This window comes from Homo sapiens, chromosome 12, assembly GCF_000001405.40.
Source record: "Homo sapiens chromosome 12, GRCh38.p14 Primary Assembly".
Lineage (NCBI taxonomy): Eukaryota > Metazoa > Chordata > Mammalia > Primates > Hominidae > Homo > Homo sapiens.
In genome coordinates, this window is record NC_000012.12 from 88,100,455 (window position 1) to 88,124,110 (window position 23,656).

Here is a 23,656-nt window from a genome sequence, read left to right on the forward strand (position 1 = left end):
CATGAACCTTTACCTCTCAAAAAGCAACAATAATTTCCTAAGCACCATATTTGACACCACATGCACTGTGGCTCTCCACCACTAATCACTCTCATGTATTAGCTTGAACTCTGTGCCAAACAGGAGATACTCAACACACAGAAACAAATTAAATAGTTCCTTATATCAAAAGACTTATATTCCATTAAGGAAGACAGATATGTAAACACATATAATTTGATGTGATATAAATATGTACTATGTACAAAACCTATGTATAAGATGCAGAACTAGTGTAGACAGGAGTGACTTTGTTCCATTAAAAAAAGTATGCTTAAGAAAAAAAAGGTAATGCCTGAACAAGTTTTGAAACAGGAATAGAAATTCACTGAGCAAAACAACTGGAAGAGAGAAATGGTTCCCTATATATAGAAAAGAGCACGTACAAAAGAACATACATAAGAAAGAACACTGTGGTCAGAAAACTCAGCTAGTTCATCTCTTGCTCTAGATGACATGAGGTAAGTAGGGGACTTGACTTTTACCCTTCAGGTAACCGGTAGCTTTTGACAGTTTTTAAGGCGGGGAGTCACATGGGAGTCACAGGGTAGGATTCATGTTTAGAATGATCATTCTTGTGGCAGTAAGGAGGATGTAAGACTGGAGATAGAGACAGGAATAATGGCTGCCACAATAAAGATAATAAAAAATAAAACTAAGACACTGCCAATAGGGATAGGTATGAGATATTCACAATTACAACTGGGGCCAGGTGCGGTGGCTCACATCTGTAATCCCAGCACTTTAGGAGGCCGAGGCGGGTGGATCACGAGTTCAGGAGATCGACACCATCCTGGCTAACAAGGTGAAACCCCATCTCTACTAAAAATACAAAAAATTAGCCGGGCATGATGGTGGGTGCCTGTGGTACCAGCTACTCAGGAGGCTGAGGCAGGAGAACGGCCTGAACCCGGGAGGTGGAGCTTGCAGTGAGCCAAGATGGCGCCACTGCACTCCAGCCTGGGTGACAGAGCGAGACTCTGCCTCAAAAAAAAAAAAAAAAAAAAAAAAATTAGCTGGTGTGGTGGTGCACACCTGTAATCCCAGCTACTCAGAGGCTGAGGCAGGAGAACTGCTTGAATCTGGGAGGCAGAGGATGCAGTAAGCGTTAAGCCGAGATCGTGCCACTGCACTCAGCCTGGGTGACAGAATGAAACTCCATCTCAAAAAAAAAAAAAAAAAATCTTTAGGAAAGATGAAAAATACTCTTTGGGAAAATGATAACGTTAAACATCACTCATTGATACATTATCCACAAGATGTCTCTTGCCTAGGACTTTCTAATGCTGGAGAGGATAGGACAGAGGACATGGAGAATGGAAAAAAATAAATTATCACCACACTAAATAGGCATAATTTTCTATAAAAAGTAACATAATCACCTCTCTTTGGCAAAAGCAGCAGAAAGCAAACTGATTATGATTACTTCTAAATAATATTGATAAACATGACTCATAATTTAGTAGGAATCCTGAAAGCTACTCAGAACAACGTTTTCATTTACTGAATGTGTCTCTATGAGCCAGCAAAAGCTTTTGAGCTAATAGAATTAGATCTTATTCTACTCCTGTGAAAGGATCTTAGATAAGAATAATCCAAAATCCATAAGCCTCTATTTCTGATGAGGAAGATGAACAAATCAGGAGCTTGTTCTGTCCTCAGTAAAAGGTATAGAGTTCAAGTGGCTGTAAGATAACTACAAAGGGTCTGGTCCATATTCACAGATTGTAACTTATGATATTCTACTCTAGTTTTTTTATTTTTTATTCTACATTAAATAAATTTATTCTACATTAAAATTCTACATTTATTCTACAATAAAAAATGATGAGAATTTACAGAGTGCATCCATGGTCCAGGAAGAGCCCTTAATATTTCAGCTACTGTTGGCTACATCCATTCCAAGGAACAAAAGCCAGGGACCATGGGAGAATAGTTTGTTCTGGGTACAGGGGTAAGAGAAAGGGATGGGCACTTAATGAGTGCTTCCCTCCTTTGATTACAATATTCTACCTGTTTCATGCTCCTTTTTCTCTTAGATGTCTGGTTAAAAGAGGTTTGATTCAGCTAAATCATGCAAGTGACCTAAGGAGAATGATCTAGATAATCATTCAGAAGTCATTCAGCCACTATAAATAGATAATATATTGTGTGTGTGTGTGTGTGTTATGTGGGAACAAAATATTTATAACTAAACTGAATGAATAATATGGATAATTATATCTCTGTTAAATTTATATAAATGCAGGCAAACTTTAATTAAAATCTGCCAAATCCCCCCAAACACAAAAATATTGAAGAAAAATGGCTAATTTCACAAGGTTCAAGAATCACACAAACTTACCTCCAGGTGTTCCAAGTTACTTGTTCTTTGAACAAGCATATTATCTTTTTGCAAGATGTCCCTGTACTTAGCAGTCAGTTCATTGTACTGTTTATTAGCCAGTTCTAGTTCAGACAAAGAAACACTATTATCTACAACTTTTTGGAGAGCTGCAATCTTGAAAATGGCCATTTCCTATGTAAATAAAGATACACTGAGTTATGCTGGTGTCTTTTTTTCTGGTCAAGCACTAGCCACTTTTGAGAAAGATAATACAACTTAAAGTAAAACGAATTTTAAAATCATTTTTAAAATATATGATTTCCCATGTAAGAAAAACATGCATTAACATAATTTCTTTCATATAAGAAATGTTACTTTGAAAATCTTAATCATAATAAAAATAAAATACTTTAATAACTCCTGTCATTGTAAAATAAAACTCAATTAATTTGAGAAAACATAACAAACAGCAGGAATATATCACTCGGAATTTATCTTTGGATGGCTTTTCTAAATTTCTTATGATCGGAAAACAACTTGCCTTTTAATAAATGGGAAAATTAGCATTATCACAGGTAACTTTCACAGCTTAGCTATTTATGCTTATTGTAAGTTAAACGGACTAGCTTTAATAACAAGAAAACTTTTTGTACACATGATGGAAACATTAGCGGGAGAGCTTCTATTATAGTTCTCTGTAATAAATAACATCAAGGACTTTAAGTTACTTGGTTCATGGTTCTACTCATCAACTATAGAACTATTCAAAGATATTCTATTATCAACACCAAAATGAAATGTCCAAACTTACAGTTCTCTTAAGTTGCTGTATAATAGGCAAACATTACATAGAAAAGTACAATAAAGAATGATGAAAGCTGAGAAGTGGTATAAGGAATAATCAAATTTATGAATGAGGAAGTAAAAAAACTTACGGTTGTAATTCATTCTGAAGTACAGTAACGATGGAAATATTTGTAATAGCGCTTCAGATCTCATTTTGGCAGCCTTTCTTCTCCATCTAAGTTAAGTACACACTATTCTATCTTACCCTTAAGATTCAGTTTCACTGTTCTGGGGGAAACAGGGGTAGATGAGATTCTATTTCCCATCTCTTAAGAATCTCCCTTTTTCTTGGCTCTTCAATTGTTGGGAGAAAAAAATCAAGTTCATGAGCAGGTAGAAGAGGAAGAAAACTAATTCTTTTCTCTTTCTATCTCAAACACTAACTGTATTTATAAAACTCTAACAAAAGTAGATTCTAAAAAAATCTAACACAAAAATAAGACATGAACATTTCCTTATTACATGTCTGAATAAATATCACTTATATTTATTAAAGAATTTCTTGATGCTCAGTATTAAGCTTTAGATCAAGCTGAAAATAGGTTTATTAGCCTGACATCACCCATTACAACCTTTAAAGTGGAAAGTAAAGAACCCAAGCCCATTTTAATTTCACTTTGAATTCTGTGTTCCTATGATCCTGTCCAAATTTAGTCATGAACATTGAACATTTACATGCTTAAAAATAAACTACAAGGTAAGGTATAAAACTAGGTGCAGAAGGGTATACATGTCATGTAACCTGTCTTGTCTTTGTTTATGTTTCCAAAAAGGAAACATGAGAAAGATAATAAGTTACCTACAGAGGGTGGAGCAGAATAATATGAAAGGCGTAAGACCAGAATTAAGATTTCTCTGATTAAATATTTTGCATATATAAATATTGTATATATTAAAATTCAATAAAGGAAAAAAATCCCTAAAATAAAAAAAATGAAAAACAAATGAGCCTAACTATATATCAAATGTATAACATAACCGCATGAAGACAATTATTTCAAGTAAGTGTAGAATACTTTGCCTATACATTCTCAGCAAGATATATTCTGAAGAAAATAAGACCTGAAATAAAACTTTAAACTATGTTTGGCAGCAGTGCTGTTGTTGTTACTATTAATATCAATTCAAGTATTATTTTTCAAATTATTGTATGTATATTGTAGGATAAAACAAATATTTTAATGTTAATAATAAAGGTTTTCTATGTAAGAAAAAAATACAAGTGCAAAATCAAAGAAGCTTAGTAAAAATCCGATACTATTTACTTACCCCATAATGTTATAATTAAACTGGAAATAACAATATGAACTCATGGTTTAAATATATACATATTTTTCTAACTTGTCTACTGAGAGACTAGTGGCAATGATACTCTGAGAGCAATGATGCCCAGTGGCCAGTTTTTGGTATCTAAATGCCTTCCCCACTAAAAGGAACCTGGGCTCTTTAAAGAAATGGTTTATTCCAAGTATGGGCATGAAGTATGTAGGTAAGTCTAAGACATCTTATGCTAGAAAACAAGTCAAGCTTTGAGGCTTCGTTCAAAAGACTAATGAATTTTTGTCAAGACAATATAAGAGTCAACTTTAAAGGACTCTCTTTGGCTAAAGTTGAGACAAAAGAATATGACTCCAACTAAAACACATGGAATATTTAAAAATCTGTGAGTCTAATCTGATACTTAAAAAAGAGAAAGCGGAGGGGACAAAAAAAGCAGGTAGTGCAGAGTACACCAAGTGTGTATTCTGAAAACTGGTAATTAAAGAGAAAAGCATTTATCTTGCCTTTGTAGTAGGAGCTAAACTTCAAGATAAACAAATAGCCTGGGCTAATGAGGAAACGCTATTTATTTTACAAAAGCATGTCTGTTAATAAATGTAAGTGCATAATATAACTAGAAAATTATGATGTTTGCAACTTTTAATAATTGGGTTAGGCAACAATCATCAGCAGATGCTAAAATCATTAGGACTGACAAATAATTTGTTATTTGTATGGTACCAAAATATCACCAGTTAGCTAAATTGCTTAATAATGGAGGTATATGGTTATCTTTTCTTCTTCTTCTTCTTCTTTTTTTCTTTTAAGAGAGAGACTCGCTCTGTTATACAGGCACATAGGCTGGAGATCAGTGGCACATGATCACAGCTCACTGCAGCCCCCAACTTCCTGGGCTCAAGCGATCCTCCCACCTCAATGTCCCAGGTAGCTGGGATTACAAGCATGTGCCACTACACCAAGCTAATTAAAAACAAACAAACAAAAAAAAAAACATTTTTTGTAGAGACGGAGTCTCACTATATTGCCTAGGCTGGTCTGGGCTCAGGAAATTTTCCTGCCTGGGCCTTCCAAAATGTTGGAATTATAGGCATGAGCCACCATACTTGGTCTGCTTGTCTTTTCCTTAACAGAGTAATCAATTACAAAACATGGAACAACCAGATACTCTTGAAGTGATGCAATATAAAGTATAGAACACTACTTATGAAGTATTCTTGCCAAAAATGTTTAAACCTGAATGTAACTTAGGGTTCTGACCTAACTTTTAGTAATACAAGGGACACAGGAACAAGTAAAATGACACACACACAAAAGTTAGATACATCTTCAAACATTTTTTGGAGAAAAAGAAAACCAAGGGGATTCTATATTAAAAAGATTTATGAGATGTAACATCCAAATGCTTATTCTTTGATCAAAAAATGTAAAAAATGTGACTATAATCAGGGTATTAGGCGATATTAGAAAATTACTGTCATTTTGTTAGGTATAATAAAGTTACTATGGTTAGTTAAAGAAAAAAGCCTTTTTCAAAAGGGTACATTAAATATTTAGGGGAGGAATGTCTGCAATTCAAACATCCCACAAAAATCAGAAGAAGCAATTATGACAAAATGTTAATAAATGTTAACTATTAATTCAGGTGATGAGCATTATTGATACCATCCTATCTTCTGCATATTTGAAATTTTTCATAGTCAGAAAAAGCAAAATAAGAATCAGATGTACCTTAAATCTTTGCAAACACCCAATTTTTTCACAAACTTCAGCCTCCATTGACAACAATTCATTCTTTTGCTTCTCATTTTCTTTTCTAAGTTGTCGCTCCAATTCTACTAAGGTTGTATATTGCCTTATAAGTGATTTTTCATTCACTTGCAAAACAGTAATTTTCCTACTATTTTCTGCAAGTATTTTTTTCATTTCATCCGAATCCATCTGAAGAGCATTGAGCAAATTCTGCACAAAGACACATCCATATTACTTGTTGAATCTAGCTATCCTACTTTGTACAATATTGCATACTAATGTTAAAAATGTTTTACTTACATTATATTCTTTTACTTTTATAGCATCTTGTTGGACTTGATCCTCAAGTTTTCTCTTTTCCTCTTTTATTGTTTTAGATTCTGTTTTCCAGGTCTCCTTTTCACTAAAAACAAAACAAAACAAAAAGACAATACTGTAAACCTAATAAAATGTTTATAAGAAAAGATAACTTCAGATTATGCAAATTTAAAGTTTTCTCAACACAAGAGGTATCATAGCTATTCAGTATCTGAAAACACAAGAAGTTAAACTTTCATTTAAAAAGGGTTTAGCCTAGAATTAAAAATTTTTTAAATAAATGCAAGGCAACAAAGTTATCAAATTATTTTCATTCTTCCCTGATTCACCACTAAATGGGTTATAATATAATTGAAGCTGAATCTTATAAACATTTTATTGAACACAGAAAAAAAGTAGGAAAATAATACCCTATACTAATTCTAGAAATCAAATTCCAACATTCTGACCCCACTCTCAAATTTGGGTGTTAAATGCTTACAAAATAATTTGAATACAAACACATCTTAAGTCTAATTAAAATAGTGACCAAAGTTAATAACAGTATATTATATACTTTAAAATTGCTAAGAGAGTAAATTTTAAGTGTTCTTAGTGCAAAAAAAAAAAAAAATAAGAAGAAGTATGCTGTAATCCCAGCACTTTGGGAGGCCAAGGTGGGCAGATTGCTTGAGGCTAGGAATTTTGAGACTAGCGTGGACAATATGGCAAAACTCCGTCTTTACCAAAAATACAAAAATTAGCCAGGCGTGGTGGCACATGCCTGTAATCTCAGCTACTTGGGAGGCTGAGGCAAGAAAATAACTTGGACCCAGGAGGCAGAGGTTGCAGTGAGCCAAGATAGCGCCACTGCACTCCAGCCTGGGTGACAGAGCAAGACTCTGTCTCAAGGAAAAAAAAAAAAAAGTATGCGAGGTAATACATATGTTAAGTAGCTTGATTTAGCCATTCCACAGTATATACATATATAGAACACCATGTTGTATAGCATAGTATATACATATATAGAACACCATGTTGTATAGCATAGTATATACATATATAGAACACCATGTTGTATACCATAAATTCTTGTGAATTTAAAAAGTAATTTAAAACATATTTATATATAAATTATTTTTTTGAAGTTGTGTAAGACACTGTTGTCTACACATGAGCATTCCACAAACATGTGTAATGTTCTTGGCATAAACCCAGTATAGCGGTATCATTCTCTTTGCAACTGAATGGTTCAGACTTGGACATGTGATCCAATTCTAGCAAATGAGATCGGAGTCAATGTCTGCCAGGTATCACCAGAAAAAAATGTTTATTTAAAAATAAAAGCTATGTAGAAAAAAATGCTCCTCTTCTTCAATGGGCACATCATCTTTCTTGAATTCATGCAGCTATTTTACAACCATCATAGGCGATAACAACAACCTTCAAATATGACCTGCCCTACAACTAGCTTTGTGGTTCTGGTTAGGTCAGATAATAATTATTCTTAGTGTTTAAATCACCTTTGATTAGGTATTCTAATTCCTATTAAGGAAATCATTCTATTGATTTAGATGAGATGACAGAAATAAGGAGAAATATGTTAGTTCCCTATAAACATATATGAACAATGATGATTGTGATGATGATGAATGATGCTAACAACAGCTAACATTTACAAACTGTTCATATGTGCCACACACTAGTCCGAGCATTTTCATCTAATAATTCATTTACGTTTTACAATAATCCTATGAAAAGGGTATTACTTACAAAGTAACTTACAGATAAGGAAACTGAGACACAGATAGGTAAGATGACTTGCTCAAGCTCTTACAAAAAGCAAACGTTAAATGACTCAAACCCAGGCAGGATAATCCCAGGCTTAATGTAATCATTAAGCTACACTGTCTCCATAAATAAGTTCCTAACAGTAGTTACCAGAGTAAAAAAAAATACAATTGCAAAGGAAGAAGAAGAAGGGAAGAACAAAACATAAATTATTCTTACGTTACTTTCACAATTAACAAGAATATACTGCAATTATATTTATAGTTTTGCTAATACCTATACCTTAGGTATTCTTTATACAACAAACTTTGTTGATGACGAATTACAGCAAATTTTCTGTTGTAATCTTCAAGAGAATCTTCTAAATTCTTTAACTTTTTTTCTTTATTTTCTAGTTCCTGAAAAGTGGTTTAGAAATAAGAATGCAAAAAAAAACACAATAGAATAAATGCTGAATTTGAAAGTATAAATTCATATTCTGACAACATTATAGGAAAGTTAAAAGTCACCAAATCTGTAAGCAACACAGATCATTTTTCCATGATATTTTGAACACTTTAGTTTAAGGCATAAAAAAAGAGTACTATACAACAGGTAAAGTTATTTTTAGCACACAAATTACCAGATTACAAAGTTTTATTAGATAGAATAGTTATAAACTCGCCTCTAGTCACTCGGCCACATACCCTCTCTTATGAACACATAATTTCATACCCTCACTCAAATTATCCTTTCCAATTATTTCATTTTAAAGATGAAATTGAAATTTAAATAACTTACTCAATATCCAAAAACTCATTAACACTACACTTGGCAATCATTTTTACCAAGTACATATGCTAGGCTTGTTGTCAGGTGCTTTCCATATACATGGATCCAACATTTGAGTTTGGGTCTGTCTGACTCCAAAGGTCTTGCCACGTTTATAGCTCTATACAGCCTTAGGATTGAGAGTCTAAGTACCTGTTTTGCCACTTTGGACAGCTTTTCAGACTCCCAGTTGGTACTCTCTAATCTACTACAAACTTCTGATATATTTCTTATACAAAGATTAAAAATCATGAATTTTATCTCAAAAAATACGACAATGCCATACTACCAATATTTGCTGATAGTGTTCCTATACCTCAGGTAAATAAGAGAAATAATAATGTTAAAATTATACATTTAAAAATAATAATATCACATACAAAGCAATATTCTAATAAGTAGTTAAGGCTGTCCTTAGACAACATAAAATAATAATAAAAATCCCAATATTGAGAAAAAGATGAATTACTGTAATTTCCAAAATAAAAATGAGTACTTAATAATTATAACTCAAGTATACTCACAAATGGATCACCTAGCAGAGAGAAATAGTGGCCCATATAATCAAAAATATATTTTCATTGATTCTGAACATATATTTGTAATTATATTTATAATGTATGTGATGTTATAGATAGTCAAATTTCAAATAAAATAATGAAAAGGATCTGTCATTAGGACATTCATAACGACCATTATATAGACAGCAAAACTGAGAAACCCAGGGCAGGTAGTATAGTAGAGTACCCTTTCCTCTTTGGTGGTAGATTAACATTTTATTGCGTAAAGGGAAGACAAAGATGAAGAATAATTTGGTTTAGAAGTTTTTGCTTATGGCTGTGTGCAGTGGCTCACGTCTGTAACCCTAGCACCTTGGGAGGCCAAGGCAGGCGAATCACTTGAGACCAGGAGTTTGAGACCAGCCTGGCCAATATGACGACACACCATCTCTACTAAAAAAAAATACAAAAATTAGCCAGGGATGCATGCCTGTAGTCCCAGCTACTCAGGAGGCTGAGGCATGAGAATCACTTAAACTCAGGAGGTGGAAGTTGCAGTGAGCCAAGATAGCGCAACTGCACTCCAGCCTGAGTGACAGAGTGAGGCTCTGTCTCAAAAAAAAAGTAGTTTTTACTTGTGAATGCAAAAAGGGGAACAATTCTATCATGACACTAAAAAGCCTTGACAGACTTTATTCTTTTGTTTTCCACCCAGCAAGAAATAAAAGTGCTCATTTACTTAACACTGCTTTATAATAGCTGCTTGTTGTTCTGCTTGTGAACCATATATTTCACATGAATGACAGGTGTGCGAACAAGATGTATGAACATGCTGCTCATGCAGATGAATGGAATGAATGGTATAAATTGCTTTTATTTATAATCCATCTAACATCAAAATCCATAAAAAATATATTTCACTGTTACTATTTTGAGAACTCAGGAATACATGAAGACTAAATATTGAGAAAAGTACTATCTGCATGCTTTGGTGATGGAAAAATTAAAATAAAGTAAAATAAAAATAAAAACATAAAGAAACATACTACCAATGATTTTTGTTATTCACATGTAAAATTTTCAATACCTGTAACAAAATTTTCAATACCTGTAACAAATGTATTAAATATTCATTCTGAGAATTAATGATACTGGCACTAGATGGTGCTATCCCATCAGGTAAGTCAATTCCTTTAAAAACAACATTTGATCCTTCTGATTGTCGTAAAAGACTAGTTTCTTTTTCAAGATGGTCTATCTGGAAAAAAAAATCCAGCAATGAGAATCACAACTCTTACACCCAAAGAAAGACAAATTGACAGATATGTGAATGCCCTGCCAGGAATTTTACCTCAACCATACTTCAGTTTCTGCTTAGAAATGCCTAGGTATGAGATTTAGAATTTTTGTATTCTTTTCAATCTTATAAGGCACTTATTTTCCACTTATAATTTTATAAGAGAAATCCAGTTTCTTAATATTGAAAGAATTAATTCAAGGGGCATTTTCTCATAAAGCATTCTTTTTAAAAAATTAAAAATTTCCTATTAAATCTACATTCTTATGTTTAGCATTTTCTTTTATTTAATAAAATTCTCACCTTTAAATTAGCTTTTGCCAACTGCTGTGAATAATTTATAGCCTCTTTCCGAGATTCCCTGAGCTCCTGTCTTAATTCTTCATTTCTTCCGGTAAGCTGATCAACTTGGGCTTTCAAATGCAGACTCGCATCAAAGATTCCTTCTGCATTCTTTGATTCTATAGCCTAGCAAATTTATATTATATATTAGAAATGTGGAGAAAAACAGTAAAATCATAGTAAAAAACAGTCTGTCTTTAAATAAAATGGACATTTAAGCATTTTCCTATTTTCATTGCCAAGCATGATAATAAAGTATGCCAATTCAAATTCTTATTTATGAATCTATAAAACTTTCATTTACATTACCAAGCATAGTAATTACTTCATTAAAACAATTAAAAAACACCTAGCTAATCTTAATAGACTGGTAGACTAGAAAAACAACCAGACGGGAATAAGATGACCAGGGTTCAAATTTTAATCAGTCACTTAACAGCTGGGCAAGTGACTTAAATTCTCTGTATCTTAGTTTTCTTGTCTCTAAAAGGGGAAAACAATGTGAGCTCTGCTCCCTACATGGGGTTTTTGTACAGTCAAAATGAGGTATTTTTCTCTGAAATTATATAGCACCTGCATTCAAAGCATGCGCAAAGGAATGGAATACAATATTGAACAATTGATCAATACAACATTCAATTAAGTGAATTTTTCAGTGCTTCCTCTCCACATAGTTGAAGCATAAATAAAAATAAAGGCAAGGTATCATAACATGATATTATCTAAGAATAATGAGTAAGCAAAAATAATATGTCAAATATTAAAATATTATCAGAGTGGCATCACTGGCCCGAAATCTCCAACAGTGGCATATCTAAGTATATACACACAATGCACACATCTAATAAATATATTTGGACTTTAGATGAACTGTATGGAAAAAACTGTTAAAGGCAAAGTAAGTCTTAAAAAGTGAAGGTAGAAGCCAAATAAGGTAAAATGAATAGAACCAAATGCAATCTCCTACTCAGGAAGGTGATCTGGGGTTTAACTCTAGGTAGTAGATTTGTAAAAGCCTTCCCCTGAAGGAGATTAGAGCAGGTCATGCAGAGTAATAACTTATACTAACTCAAAGAGGATATAAGGAAGATAAAAGTAGGTAGAGGAAGGTACTCTGACTGACAACAAGGTGGTCTAGTTAGTTGTCTCATTGAGGAATAGTGCCGTGTCTACATGGACTTTGGTAAAATGAGAATGAGTTAAGATAGCTGTTGGGGGCACTGAAAAATACCTTGTAGTAACAAAAAGTGAACTGAAGTGCATAATCCAGCATTGTCTGGTCTAAATTGTCATGGATTCTGAAGATTTCTTAGAGAAGTATTGCTAGGTGATTTGTGAATTTCAGATAGGGCCTATGAATCTGAAAAAACAATGACAATCCCGGATAAAAGTAAATGAAGTCTATGCAAACAGTGGCTTCAGGAAGGTCCAGAGATTGTCAACATAAATAGAAGTTAGGATTTCTTGGGCTATTCACTGTGTTTTCATTTGGTCACTAAGTAGAGCTGCCCTTGGAAAATTAAGTTTGATCTGGGACACAGTATCAGTAGTGGGCATCATCACGGACAAAAGATGTTCACATAAAAAAAGCATAAAGAATCATTTTAGACATTCAAAGTGGCAGAGGCAAAACAAAATCACCAATCAGAGAAGGAAAGTCAGTATGAGAAAGATATAATGGGAATCAAATTATTTTCTTGCCTCAGGAAGTTTTTAACATACCAGTATCACTCTCATTCTCTGTTAACAATTATAGTGTTATTTTAAAAAGTATCCAATTACTGATTAATCATGATTTTTTTAAAAAAACAATTCAATAAATAATAAGAATTTTTTTCCCATTTGAAATCAAGCACAAATTTGGGAAATAATATGACAATGTACGCTAAATATGTTCAGATAACATAAATGACATATACTTAAATATTAACAATCTAAAATGTGTATATTATTCAAGTTTATATACAGATACTGAATCCTGTGAAATTCTCAAGTCCCTATATGGTAAATATATATAGAATATTAGTGATGGCTAAATCTTTCTTGTAGCAATGAGTAAATCTTTAAACATTTAGAATAAAGCCATTTCATAATACTTCTGATGGCATAAGTTCCTAAGAGATCTACACTCCCATAAATAAAAAATGAATGAAAAAAAACTACCTAGATGTTCTAGAAAATGAACAAAAGCAAGCAGATTTTGGGAAAAAACCCCTCAAATACGGAAGACAGGACCAGCAAAGATTGACTTTGCCATTTTTAAAGATTTAGTCATAGGGCAGGGTGCAATTGCAGAGATCTATCATCTTTCTCATCTAGAAAACCACAGGATACAGCCCAAAGCCATGGGATAAGTGAAAGGAAAATCCCAATAAGAAAAGAGTCAGCAAAAACGAGCTCCAAAGTCGGTGTAAAAAACTCCTCAAGGTCTCAAGCTGACCCTTGAACCAAAAGAACACAGATAAAGAGGAAAATGTCAGTGAACTTGAAGACAGATTAATAACAATTATCCAATTGGTAGAAGAAAAGTATTGAAAGCAGCTCAAGAAAAACTACACTTTACATACAGGGAAACAATGATTCAAATGACTAAAAATATCTCATCAGAAACTATGGAGATCTGTACACAGCAGAAAATCTCTCTAAAGTGATAGGGGAAAAACATTAACATGAAAAAAATAACTTACATTAACTAGTCTTTCAAGGCTAGGGATAATTAGAGATGTTTCTCCTCCTTTAACATCAGGATCTTTCTGCATTTCCTTAATTGCTTGCAATATTTCTTTCATACCTTCTTCAAGTTGCTTATTTTCTTCAACTAATTCTTTTACTGTAATTACACAGTTTTCTCATTGGATGATCAGATCTTTTTCACAATTTACACTATGCTATACAGATGACAAATATTTCACATATACCAAAGACATCATTGGAAAAATCCAAATGTAAATAAACATACAAAAAAATTCAACTATAAATCCAACGTGAATAGTTGAGTTAAATGACAGACCTATTTATATCACGTGCATATACACACGTATATAAGGCATACTTCTGCCTTAACTTAAACTATGCTTTATATTAAAGTATTTTAAATTTGGTGTTCTAACTTCATTTTGATTGAAGAACACACAAGAAAAAGGAGTTATATATTCTCACAAAAAATTCATATTAGTAACATTCTCTCACAATGAAAACAGCAAGGCAAATCAACTGGATAGTGACAGACTGAAGTATATACAGTACAGAGGTAATTAGGAGTAAAGCAGATTAGAAAACAGAGAATGTGTTAACGCCCTTTTAGGCCCATGATTTTAAGTATAGGAAAAATAAGAACAGAAAAGTAAAAGATAATTGTAACTTACATTTATTCTGAAATTTGGCTATCACTGTCCTACTCCTTTCTAAATCTCTTTCTTTTTCAATTAGTTCTCTTGAAAGAAATTCATTCTGAAAAAAGCAGAGAGAATAAAATTGATTTTTTTCAACAAAATATCACAAGTCTATAATTTTCAAGTTAAGAAAAGTTTGATCAATTAAGTATAACAAAACAAAACAAAAAAAACGAGCTATGAAGACATAGCAGCAATCATAAAAATAAACTAAAATCTAAACAGTAAAGCAGATGGTGATCTTAATCCCACTTTCTCCCTCTCCCAACATCCATGGTAAGAGGCAAAAAGATATAACGGTTTTTGTCTTTAGTACCACAATCATCTCTTTTAATGTTCTGCCTTTACACTACCTGTTCTGCCTGGCTTCTGTGATGTTCAAGCTCTATATCTGCATTTCTACACTCTGCTTCTTTGATCAAGAATTCCTGTGCTATGATTTCATTCTAAAGAAAAATTTAATAAATTAGACAAGTCAATGAGTTCATATCAATGTACTGCATTTTAGATTTTAAAAAGTACAATGTGTATAACTGATGTTAAAGTGCAAACAAAAATATTCTAACTATAATTGTTACAGAACTTTGTTAGAGACGTCATAAAAGAACAACCACAGAAATATAATTTGGAGAAAAACTCACCTGAGATCTAAGAAATACTAGCTCTCTCCGTAACTGTTCTATAAGATTTTCAAGAGAATTTATCTGAGATAATTTTGATTGTGCAGTAATAGACACAGGGTCTGGAAGATTAACCTTAAGCTTATTTTTCAATATCTCTGTCTGTAAGGGTACTTCACTTTTTATTATATCTTCTTTCAAATTGATATCAGCATACTTTACTTGGGAATGAACCTGTTCTTCTTCTAATGTTGCTACTTGTGATTTATCCATGTCAGCTCTATTTTCATGAATTTGTTGACAAAATATTGCAGATTTTTGCCTAAGTGATAACTTCTGCATTATGTCTGAAGCTGTTGATAAGCCATGAAAAGATGAATTGCTTTTTTGTACAAAACTAGTCTTCTCTAGTGCTTGATGGCTTCTTGACACCTTCTTCATACAGTCATCAGAAAAAAGGCATATGTCATTTATTTCTTCATGGCTTTCCCTACTAAAGGTGCTGACTAACGATTCTAGATTTCTTGAAGACTGCAGACATGGTGCTTTAAAAATCTCTCTTATTGTAATAGTTTCTGGAGTTGAATTCTCTTTAACTTGCATGGATGAAGAAAGTCTAGTTAAAGGGACAAAAGGATGCATTCCACTTTCTACACTATGGTGAATTTCAGATAACATTCTTGATAATGATCCTATGGTCATATTCTCTTCTGTCTCATTCTGATCTGACTGTGGGGTATTGAATGATGATCTCCTATGCAGCAGCTCTGCTTTATCTGAACTCCTAATCTGTATTCAGAGTAAATAATGTCTCATTAATCAATCTTTGAATCAACAGGTTAAATAAGCAAATATTTCCCTCTACTTATTTAACAACAATAATAAGATTAGATGTTCAAGAATGAGATAAAGGGGGAAGAAATGAAAACACAATAAAAATATTTTCCTGGCCGGGCGCGGTGGCTCACGCCTGTAATCCCAGCACTTTGGGAGGCCGAGGCGGGCGGATCACGAGGTCAGAAGATCGAGACCATCCCGGCTAAAACGGTGAAACCCCGTCTCTACTAAAAATACAAAAAATTAGCCGGGCGTGGTGGCGGGCGCCTGTAGTCCCAGCTACTTGGGAGGCTGAGGCAGGAGAATGGCATGAACCCGGGAGGCGGAGCTTGCAGTGAGCCGAGATCGCGCCACTGCACTCCAGCCTGGGAGACAGAGCGAGACTCCGTCTCAAAAAAAAAAAAAAAAAAAAATATTTTCCTTTACTCTCTTTGCAATACTTTACTATTACCTTTGATTGTGCTTCACTCATATTTTTGAGGCTCAATAAATCCAATTTTCTTTCACTTATTCTATCTCCTTGAGAAATGTTTTCAGTTAGGTTCAGGTCCTCAGTGGTTAATCCTATATATAAGAGAATTAACAAACTAAAAACATTAAAATAACCCTCCTACTATTCCAACACTTTAATTCTTAAAACCTACAATCAAGTTTTAATGCAAAGGTAGAATAATTGTTTCCAAAATCCCTCCAAAATTCTACATAGCCAATACAAGCTTCTCATTTAGCTCACTTTTAATGAACTATTAATAATGTGAGAACCTAATTTTTGAATTTCATCTTCTCTACCATTCTTTGCCTATTCTATATTAAAGTGCTACTTAATAAGCACCAGTTAAAAGACATATAAAGTAAATATAAATGATGAGTAATGAGTAAACTGATTATTGTACTAATAAATCATGAAGTTTTTTCTTGAGAAAGTTTTGGATGTATTATAGAAATCATAATGCTAAAAAGAACCACTCTGCTATTACTCATATACGTGCTTGGGGATTTGGGGCAAGTGAAAAAGACAGTCCTTCTGTGTGGTCTTCTTACAAAAAAGCACTGCAATGGCTATTATAAAACTTAACCAACTGTTCTCTTTAGCTCAAGTAAAATAAACCCAAGAAAGATGTTAATTTATATTCAATAAAACATTACTTTCACTTAGAAAAGAATAATTTAAGGCCAGGCATGGTGGCTCACGCCTATAATTCCAGCACTTTGGGGAGCCAAAGTGGATGGATCACTTGAGGTCAGGAGTTCAAGACCAGCCTGGGCCAACATGGTGAAACCCTGTTTCTACTAAAAATACAAAAATAAGTCAGGCGTGGTGGCTCACGCCTGTAGTCTCAACTACTCAGGAGGCTGAAGCACAAGAATCACTAGAACCCGGGAGGCGGAGGTTGCAATGAGCAAGATCGCACCAGTGCACTCCAGCCTGGGCAATAGAACAAGACAGACTCCATCTCAAATATTAATAATAATAATAATAATAATAACTTACAAGAAAAGCTTTTCAATGCATAGTCCTTAAGGAAAGGGAAAATGTTGAGTAACATATATTAACATAAAAACTACTAAGTTTTATTATTATTAATAACAACATATTGGTGCTGTCTAGAAATTAAAATACTATACTATAAAACTTTTCAAAAATTCCATAATTCTAAGGTTTTTTTCTTTTTTGTTTGCTTGGTTTTTGTTATTTTGTTTTGTTTTGTTTTTGTCTATTTCAGATTCAGGACTGAACCCACTGACACTCACTTATCTCCTTCAGGTTATTATTGTCATTTATTAAATTTGTAGCAGATCCACAATAGAACAGCAAAAACAGCTAAGACACAAATAATTTCATATCCAGACAACTCACTTATCAATAATTCTTTTTAAAGGTTTAGAATAACTGAGTATACCTGAAGTTGCACTTCTTTTTCCTCTTTCTTGAGCCATTTGACGAATTTTTTTTTTCAGATCAAGTCGTTCTTCCTCTAGACTTTCAATCTGCAAAGTATAAATTATTAGTATTTCTCTATAGTTCAGCCAAGAAAATAATCAACTGACTACCACACTTGCCTCTTTCAAAAGAATCTGGTTTTCAGCTCTGTACTGCTGCTGTTTTAAGTGTTTGCTATTTCTAAATTCAGTTAAATCAATCATTGTCTTTGGTTCAAGGCCTACAATAGAAAGCAATATAATTAAAAACTTAAAAACATTCAAATAAGCTGCAAAAATGTCATATACCATCAAGCAACTGGTTATAATTCACTTAGCCAGTATCACTGAAGAATGAGGTAACTTTCTGTGAAAGAATTTTCCAGATATTTAAACTGTAACCCAAGTTAAAATTTTATCACAATTATTAATGGAAATCCTAACAAAAACCTAAATGAAATTATAAACCAAGATTTGGAGCTTTTTAAGCACAGAAAATATGATGTCTATGACAGCTACCTAGACGGGCCAGAAGTCATCTTTAGGAACTTCCAGATTCTTGGCTGTGATCTGATAGTCCAAGTTGATCAGAAGGCTGTGATCTGATAGTCCAAGTTGATCAGAAGTCTAATTTGGGGTCCTAGCACAACTACGGATCCAAGTTAGATACTTTTCACACATATATATCTGTATAAAATACTTATTTGTCTATTTGTCTTTTCTTTAGATAATAGTTTTTACAAATGATCATTTTTAACTAAGAAAGCATTAAATGAAATTTAGCAATAATGAAATTGATATTTAGATATTTATTTTCATTTTAAAGCAGCAACTTAGTCTGCACTATCATAACACTCAAATTAGTAATATTAACTAATAGGCTATTTATTAAAATAAATATATAAACTCTCAAGCTATATTACTAATTACTCCTTAAAATACTCGAACAAAGTAAAACGTAAGTAGTCTAAATTATAAAAATCAAGTACTTAAAAATCTTTAAAAGATTTTAACAGGCCAGGCGCGGTGGCTCATGCCTATTATCCCAGCACTTTGGGAGGCCAAGGCGGGTGGATCACTTAAGGTCAGGAGTTGGAGACCAGCCTAGCCAACATGGTGAAATCCCATCTCTACCAAAAATACAAAAATTAGCCGGGCATAGTGGTGCACACCTGTAATCCCAGCTACTCAGGAGGCAGAGGCAGGAGAATCACAACACAGAGCAAGAAGTTTAAATATCTCATCTGTTACAAGAGCATTTTGCAAACAAACATGGGTAATACAGACCCTACTTTTGTTGGGAAAAAAAAAGGTTAATCTCTGATATGTGGTATTAATAAACTTTCATCTTTTTAAACAAGCAGCTATTACTGAGGAGATGCTAGACCAAATAAAGCAATGTTCCAGCCCTGCCCACCCACCACTCCAACCCCATAAAATCTGATTCCACTTCAATCAGGTTAGCTCCACTTTTATTTGTATTAAATGTTTTATAAAAGCATTTGAAAAAAGCATTAAACTACTTAATAAATAATAATAAACAAAATTTAAATTAAAAAAAAAGACTTGTAAATCAGGTTGCGCAAACTATGTAACTTAAAACATGGCTTACCCACACGCTCTCTAAGTGCCTCATTTTCATCAAGGAAATCACTGATCTTCAATTCAAGTTTATTGATTTCCTTTGTTAATATTTCAATCTCTCGATCTCTTATTTTAATTTGGTTTTTACAATTCTTTATTTCAACGACAGCATCTTCTAAACCATATACTCCCTGAAAAATATCCAATTTAATTTAAAATATAACATGGTTTACTTGAATAAATTTATCAAGTTCATGATTTTTTTTTTACTAAGTCTAAAGGAAAATGTACATATGCCTATAATTTATATCATTACACTGGTTTTTTATTGTGCTTTTATAAACCAAATCCAGTAATAATAATGATGTAATATGCAACAGTTAAAACTTTCCAGTATAATATCCTAAAGGCAAAGTGACTCTGAATATGCATTACATATAAAAAACACTTACCAAAATACTAAAAGAATTAGTAAAAGCAAATCAGCAATACCAGTAGAATAAGTAAGTCATTAGTTGCTTGAATTAGTTGTAACCAATGAAAAAGTATAAAAAGTGGAGAGCAGGTTGTATTGACACAGTATGTTCCTGTCATAAATTCTGTCAAATTGGCCAGTGGTGTCACATCTACATGGTGGCCCAATGAACACAGATAATAAAAAAAAGTAATCCTGCTGCTTCACCAAAACTGATTATTTGGACAAATCACTGTGATCAAAAGTTTGAAAACAATTCTGGCAAAAAGTAAATGCTCAAAGGTTTCAATAGTTTAGTATAAATTAATGAGGATAATCTTTATCAAAAGATACTTATGGAATGTTTTTTAAATGGTATGCAGTAAATAGCACAGAATAGTCTGTGAATGGCAAGAATAATTCTAAGCTCCTTGAATGACAAGATAAAAATACATACCGATTCATAATCTTTTAACCTCTTCAGAGCCTCAACTAATTCTTTATCCTTTTCCCTAGCATCAGCCTCAGCCAGTTCAGCTGTTCTCTCAGCCTCTTTAGTTTTCTCTTTTAAAATGTCTAACGTTGACTGAATTTTCATATGAGTCTGTTGAGAAAGGGTTGAAGCACCTACAGAGTAAAAACAAAAATCATGAATTGAATTGACTACTTATTCCTTCAAATCAGTGATCCCAACATGGTGGCAAGAAAAGTGGTATGCCATTAAAAAAAAATCCTTTAAAGTTGTCATTTTATATTTGTAAGATGAAAGTTTTGTTTTGGTTTTACTAATACAATTTACTAAAAAACTGAAGTTCAGTAAAACCTTCTTAGCTGAAGGGGTATGGATTTTAAAAGGTTGCAAAATACTGCTTTACAAAAAATGATCATTGTGATACAGACTGCTAGCTGTTCCTAATATTTAACCTCCCTTTTGTCCACTGTACTAAAACTATGGATTTTTAGCTTGACACGTGGCCATTTGAAATAAAGAACTAAATTTCCACTTACACACAAGCAGCTATGTGTGGTCATGTCAGTAATGGAATATAAACGCAAAGTTCATATGTGAATTTCAAAAAAAAAAAAAAAAATGTTTTTAAAATAAAGGAGTAATCTCTCTTCTCTTTCCTCCTTCCTGCTAGCTGAAATCCACATGGATATGAGGGTGGCAACTTCACATGAGTTAGAAACCACATGTTGAGATAGGCACAGCAACAAGAGACAGGGTTCCTGATAGGGGATATTTGAGCATCTGTCACACAAATCCTGCCCTAGTTGCTTCAACTTTGTCTATATTATAGAGAAATAAATTTCTATCTTGTTTAAATTATTGTATTATGCTTGATTTTTCTGTCACTTGCAGCTAAATTTAATCCAAACTAAGCTAAAAACTTCCTAAATGCCTACTTGTAATATCTTACTAAATTGTTAAAAGACCAAAACATAATATTGCTATCATTCCAAAATTGATTGACAGATCATTCTCACACTCATTCATTATAAGCATTTACTAATATATAGGTTATATATTTAATATTGGACTTAGGCATAAAACTAGTACGTTTGAGATCACAAAAGTTTTTAAGAAATGAGCACAGCTGTCTGGAGCTAACATCTAAGCTGTGGAACATGACACAGGCTGAGTTGTCCCCCAGTATCTATTCTCCCTTCCATCCACATATCTATTCTCCTATCATTCTTCCACATGGCCCTACACAATAAACACTATATTTACCTGCCTATCCTTCAGCACATGCTTTTAACTCTTGCCCCTCTTCCTCTGTCTTGCTGTTTGGGACACAGACATGAGATAAAGCTGCATTCCATCCATTTTGGATGGGGCAGATGAAGGCAACACCCTGGAATGCTTAATTCTAGGCCATTACATAGATGAGAAATAAATGTCTATCTTGATTTTGCCATTATTCTTCAGCTCTCTGTTCCTGATAACTAAACCTAATCCTAATCTTATGAAGGAAGAATACCATTAGCCATTACGTTTTACAAGTTAAGTTCAAGATGTAGAGTACAGTCTAGTACACACACCTTCTGTGAGCTTTAGGGATTATATAACTACGGACTGACTAAAGTGTTATCAGATAAGTCCTTTTCCTTATTTGACAGCAGAGATCAATTGCCACTTTTTCTCCTAGTAATTAGAATACGCACAATCCATACTATTAGTCATCCTTTTAAAGCAGTTTAAACTACTTTCAAAGTGTTCTGATACAAATATAATAAACACATAAATAGAAATACATATATATATCGTGGGCTCTTGAAGTTACTCAACAGTCATACCACATTCTCCACGTCTTCAATCTTTCAGATGACCATTTTATACTTTCACTTCTCTTCTTTCTCCTCAAACTTATGAAACATCTTCTCCTATCCTCACCTTCAGCTAAGAACCTTGCTCCCTTGTTCACTGAGAAAAAAGCAGCAACCAGTTTAGAACTTCCACAAATTCCCATTACCAGGATGTCTACCAAGCCACCTACATCGATATCTATACACTCTACCTTCTTTTCTACAATTATGGATGAACTCTGTGTTCCTAGTTAAGGCCAACCTCTTCACTGGCACACTAGGATCCCATCCCATTGCATTCTTAAAAATATTATTGTTCCAGAAGTTCTCTCTCTCCACTTCATTGATTCATTAATGTTTCTTCTTTAATGGAGCTCTCCTATTAACCTAAAATCATGAGTTATTTCTTCCATCTTAAAGAGAAAAATGTTTTCTTAATCCCTCTTTCCCCTCAAGCTACCACCTTGTTTTCTCCTTCTCTTTATAGAAACAGTCCTGGAAAAGGGTTCCTATATTTCTTTATTACATTTCCTCTCTACCCATTTTCTCTTGAACCAAAAATGACCATTGCTAAGTCCAATAGTCAACTTTTAGTGATCATCTTGACCTATCAGCAGCAATGAACACAGCTCTGAAAGCAGTTGTTTCTTCTTCCTTGGTTACATTCCTCATGTGGTTTTCAGGGCTCTCCATACTCCTGCTTTTCCTCCTAGCTCTCTGGGCTTTCCTTTTCAGTCTCCTTTGGTAGCTCCTTTTTATCTCCCCAGCTGCTAAAGTAGAAGCTCTTTAGATTTTTCTTCTTAACCTACATTTACTCCCTTGGTGATCTTAGCCAGCCTCATTATTTCAATTACTTTTACAGAGACAGTTACCAAACATATCTTTAGCCTAGATTGTTGTCCTAAACCTTAAACTTTTATATACAAGTGCCTACTTAACACCTTCACTTGAATGTCTAATAAGCATCTCAAACCTAACATGTCTAAAATTAAGTACCTGATTATCTCTCAACCTGCTCTTCCCACAACCCCACCATGACCAAAACTTTTGGTTCAGACCAAGAGTTCTCTCTCTCTCACATCCTACATCTGATCTGTTAGCAAATTCCATTTTTATCACTTTCAAAATACATCCAGAACTGCTGCATCCAGTAACTCCACTGCTACCACCATGCCCCAAACCACCATCACTTTTCTCCAGATTATTGCAATAGTCTTCTAACAGGTCTCCCTGATTCTTATTTACCACTCCTACAGTCTAC

General features: G+C 33.4%; 1 protein-coding gene across 22 annotated transcripts in view; it reads right to left on the reverse strand.

Annotated features, from left to right (window-relative positions):
- The window catches only part of CEP290 (centrosomal protein 290), a 93,073-nt gene that overhangs the window by 51,439 nt on the left and 17,978 nt on the right, over positions 1-23,656 (reverse strand). For 13 of the 22 annotated variants that reach the window (XM_017019981.3, XM_017019980.3, XM_011538759.3 and 10 more), the window contains exons 14-28: positions 20,543-20,712; positions 19,660-19,822; positions 18,189-18,289; positions 18,029-18,116; positions 16,579-16,691; positions 15,312-16,079; positions 15,024-15,116; positions 14,644-14,728; positions 13,966-14,108; positions 11,240-11,404; positions 10,748-10,897; positions 8,612-8,727; positions 6,542-6,644; positions 6,221-6,451; positions 2,384-2,557 (exon numbers count right to left, since the gene is read on the reverse strand). In XM_017019981.3, coding sequence (XP_016875470.1) covers positions 2,384-2,557; positions 6,221-6,451; positions 6,542-6,644; positions 8,612-8,727; positions 10,748-10,897; positions 11,240-11,404; positions 13,966-14,108; positions 14,644-14,728; positions 15,024-15,116; positions 15,312-16,079; positions 16,579-16,691; positions 18,029-18,116; positions 18,189-18,289; positions 19,660-19,822; positions 20,543-20,712 — 2,663 coding nt within the window. Of the gene's footprint in view, positions 1-2,383; positions 2,558-6,220; positions 6,452-6,541; positions 6,645-8,611; positions 8,728-10,747; positions 10,898-11,239; positions 11,405-13,965; positions 14,109-14,643; positions 14,729-15,023; positions 15,117-15,311; positions 16,080-16,578; positions 16,692-18,028; positions 18,117-18,188; positions 18,290-18,566; positions 18,660-19,659; positions 19,823-20,542; positions 20,713-23,656 lie in introns of those variants that run through there. The other 9 variants (XM_017019983.3, XM_047429563.1, NM_025114.4 and 6 more) reach the window with 3 other exon arrangements.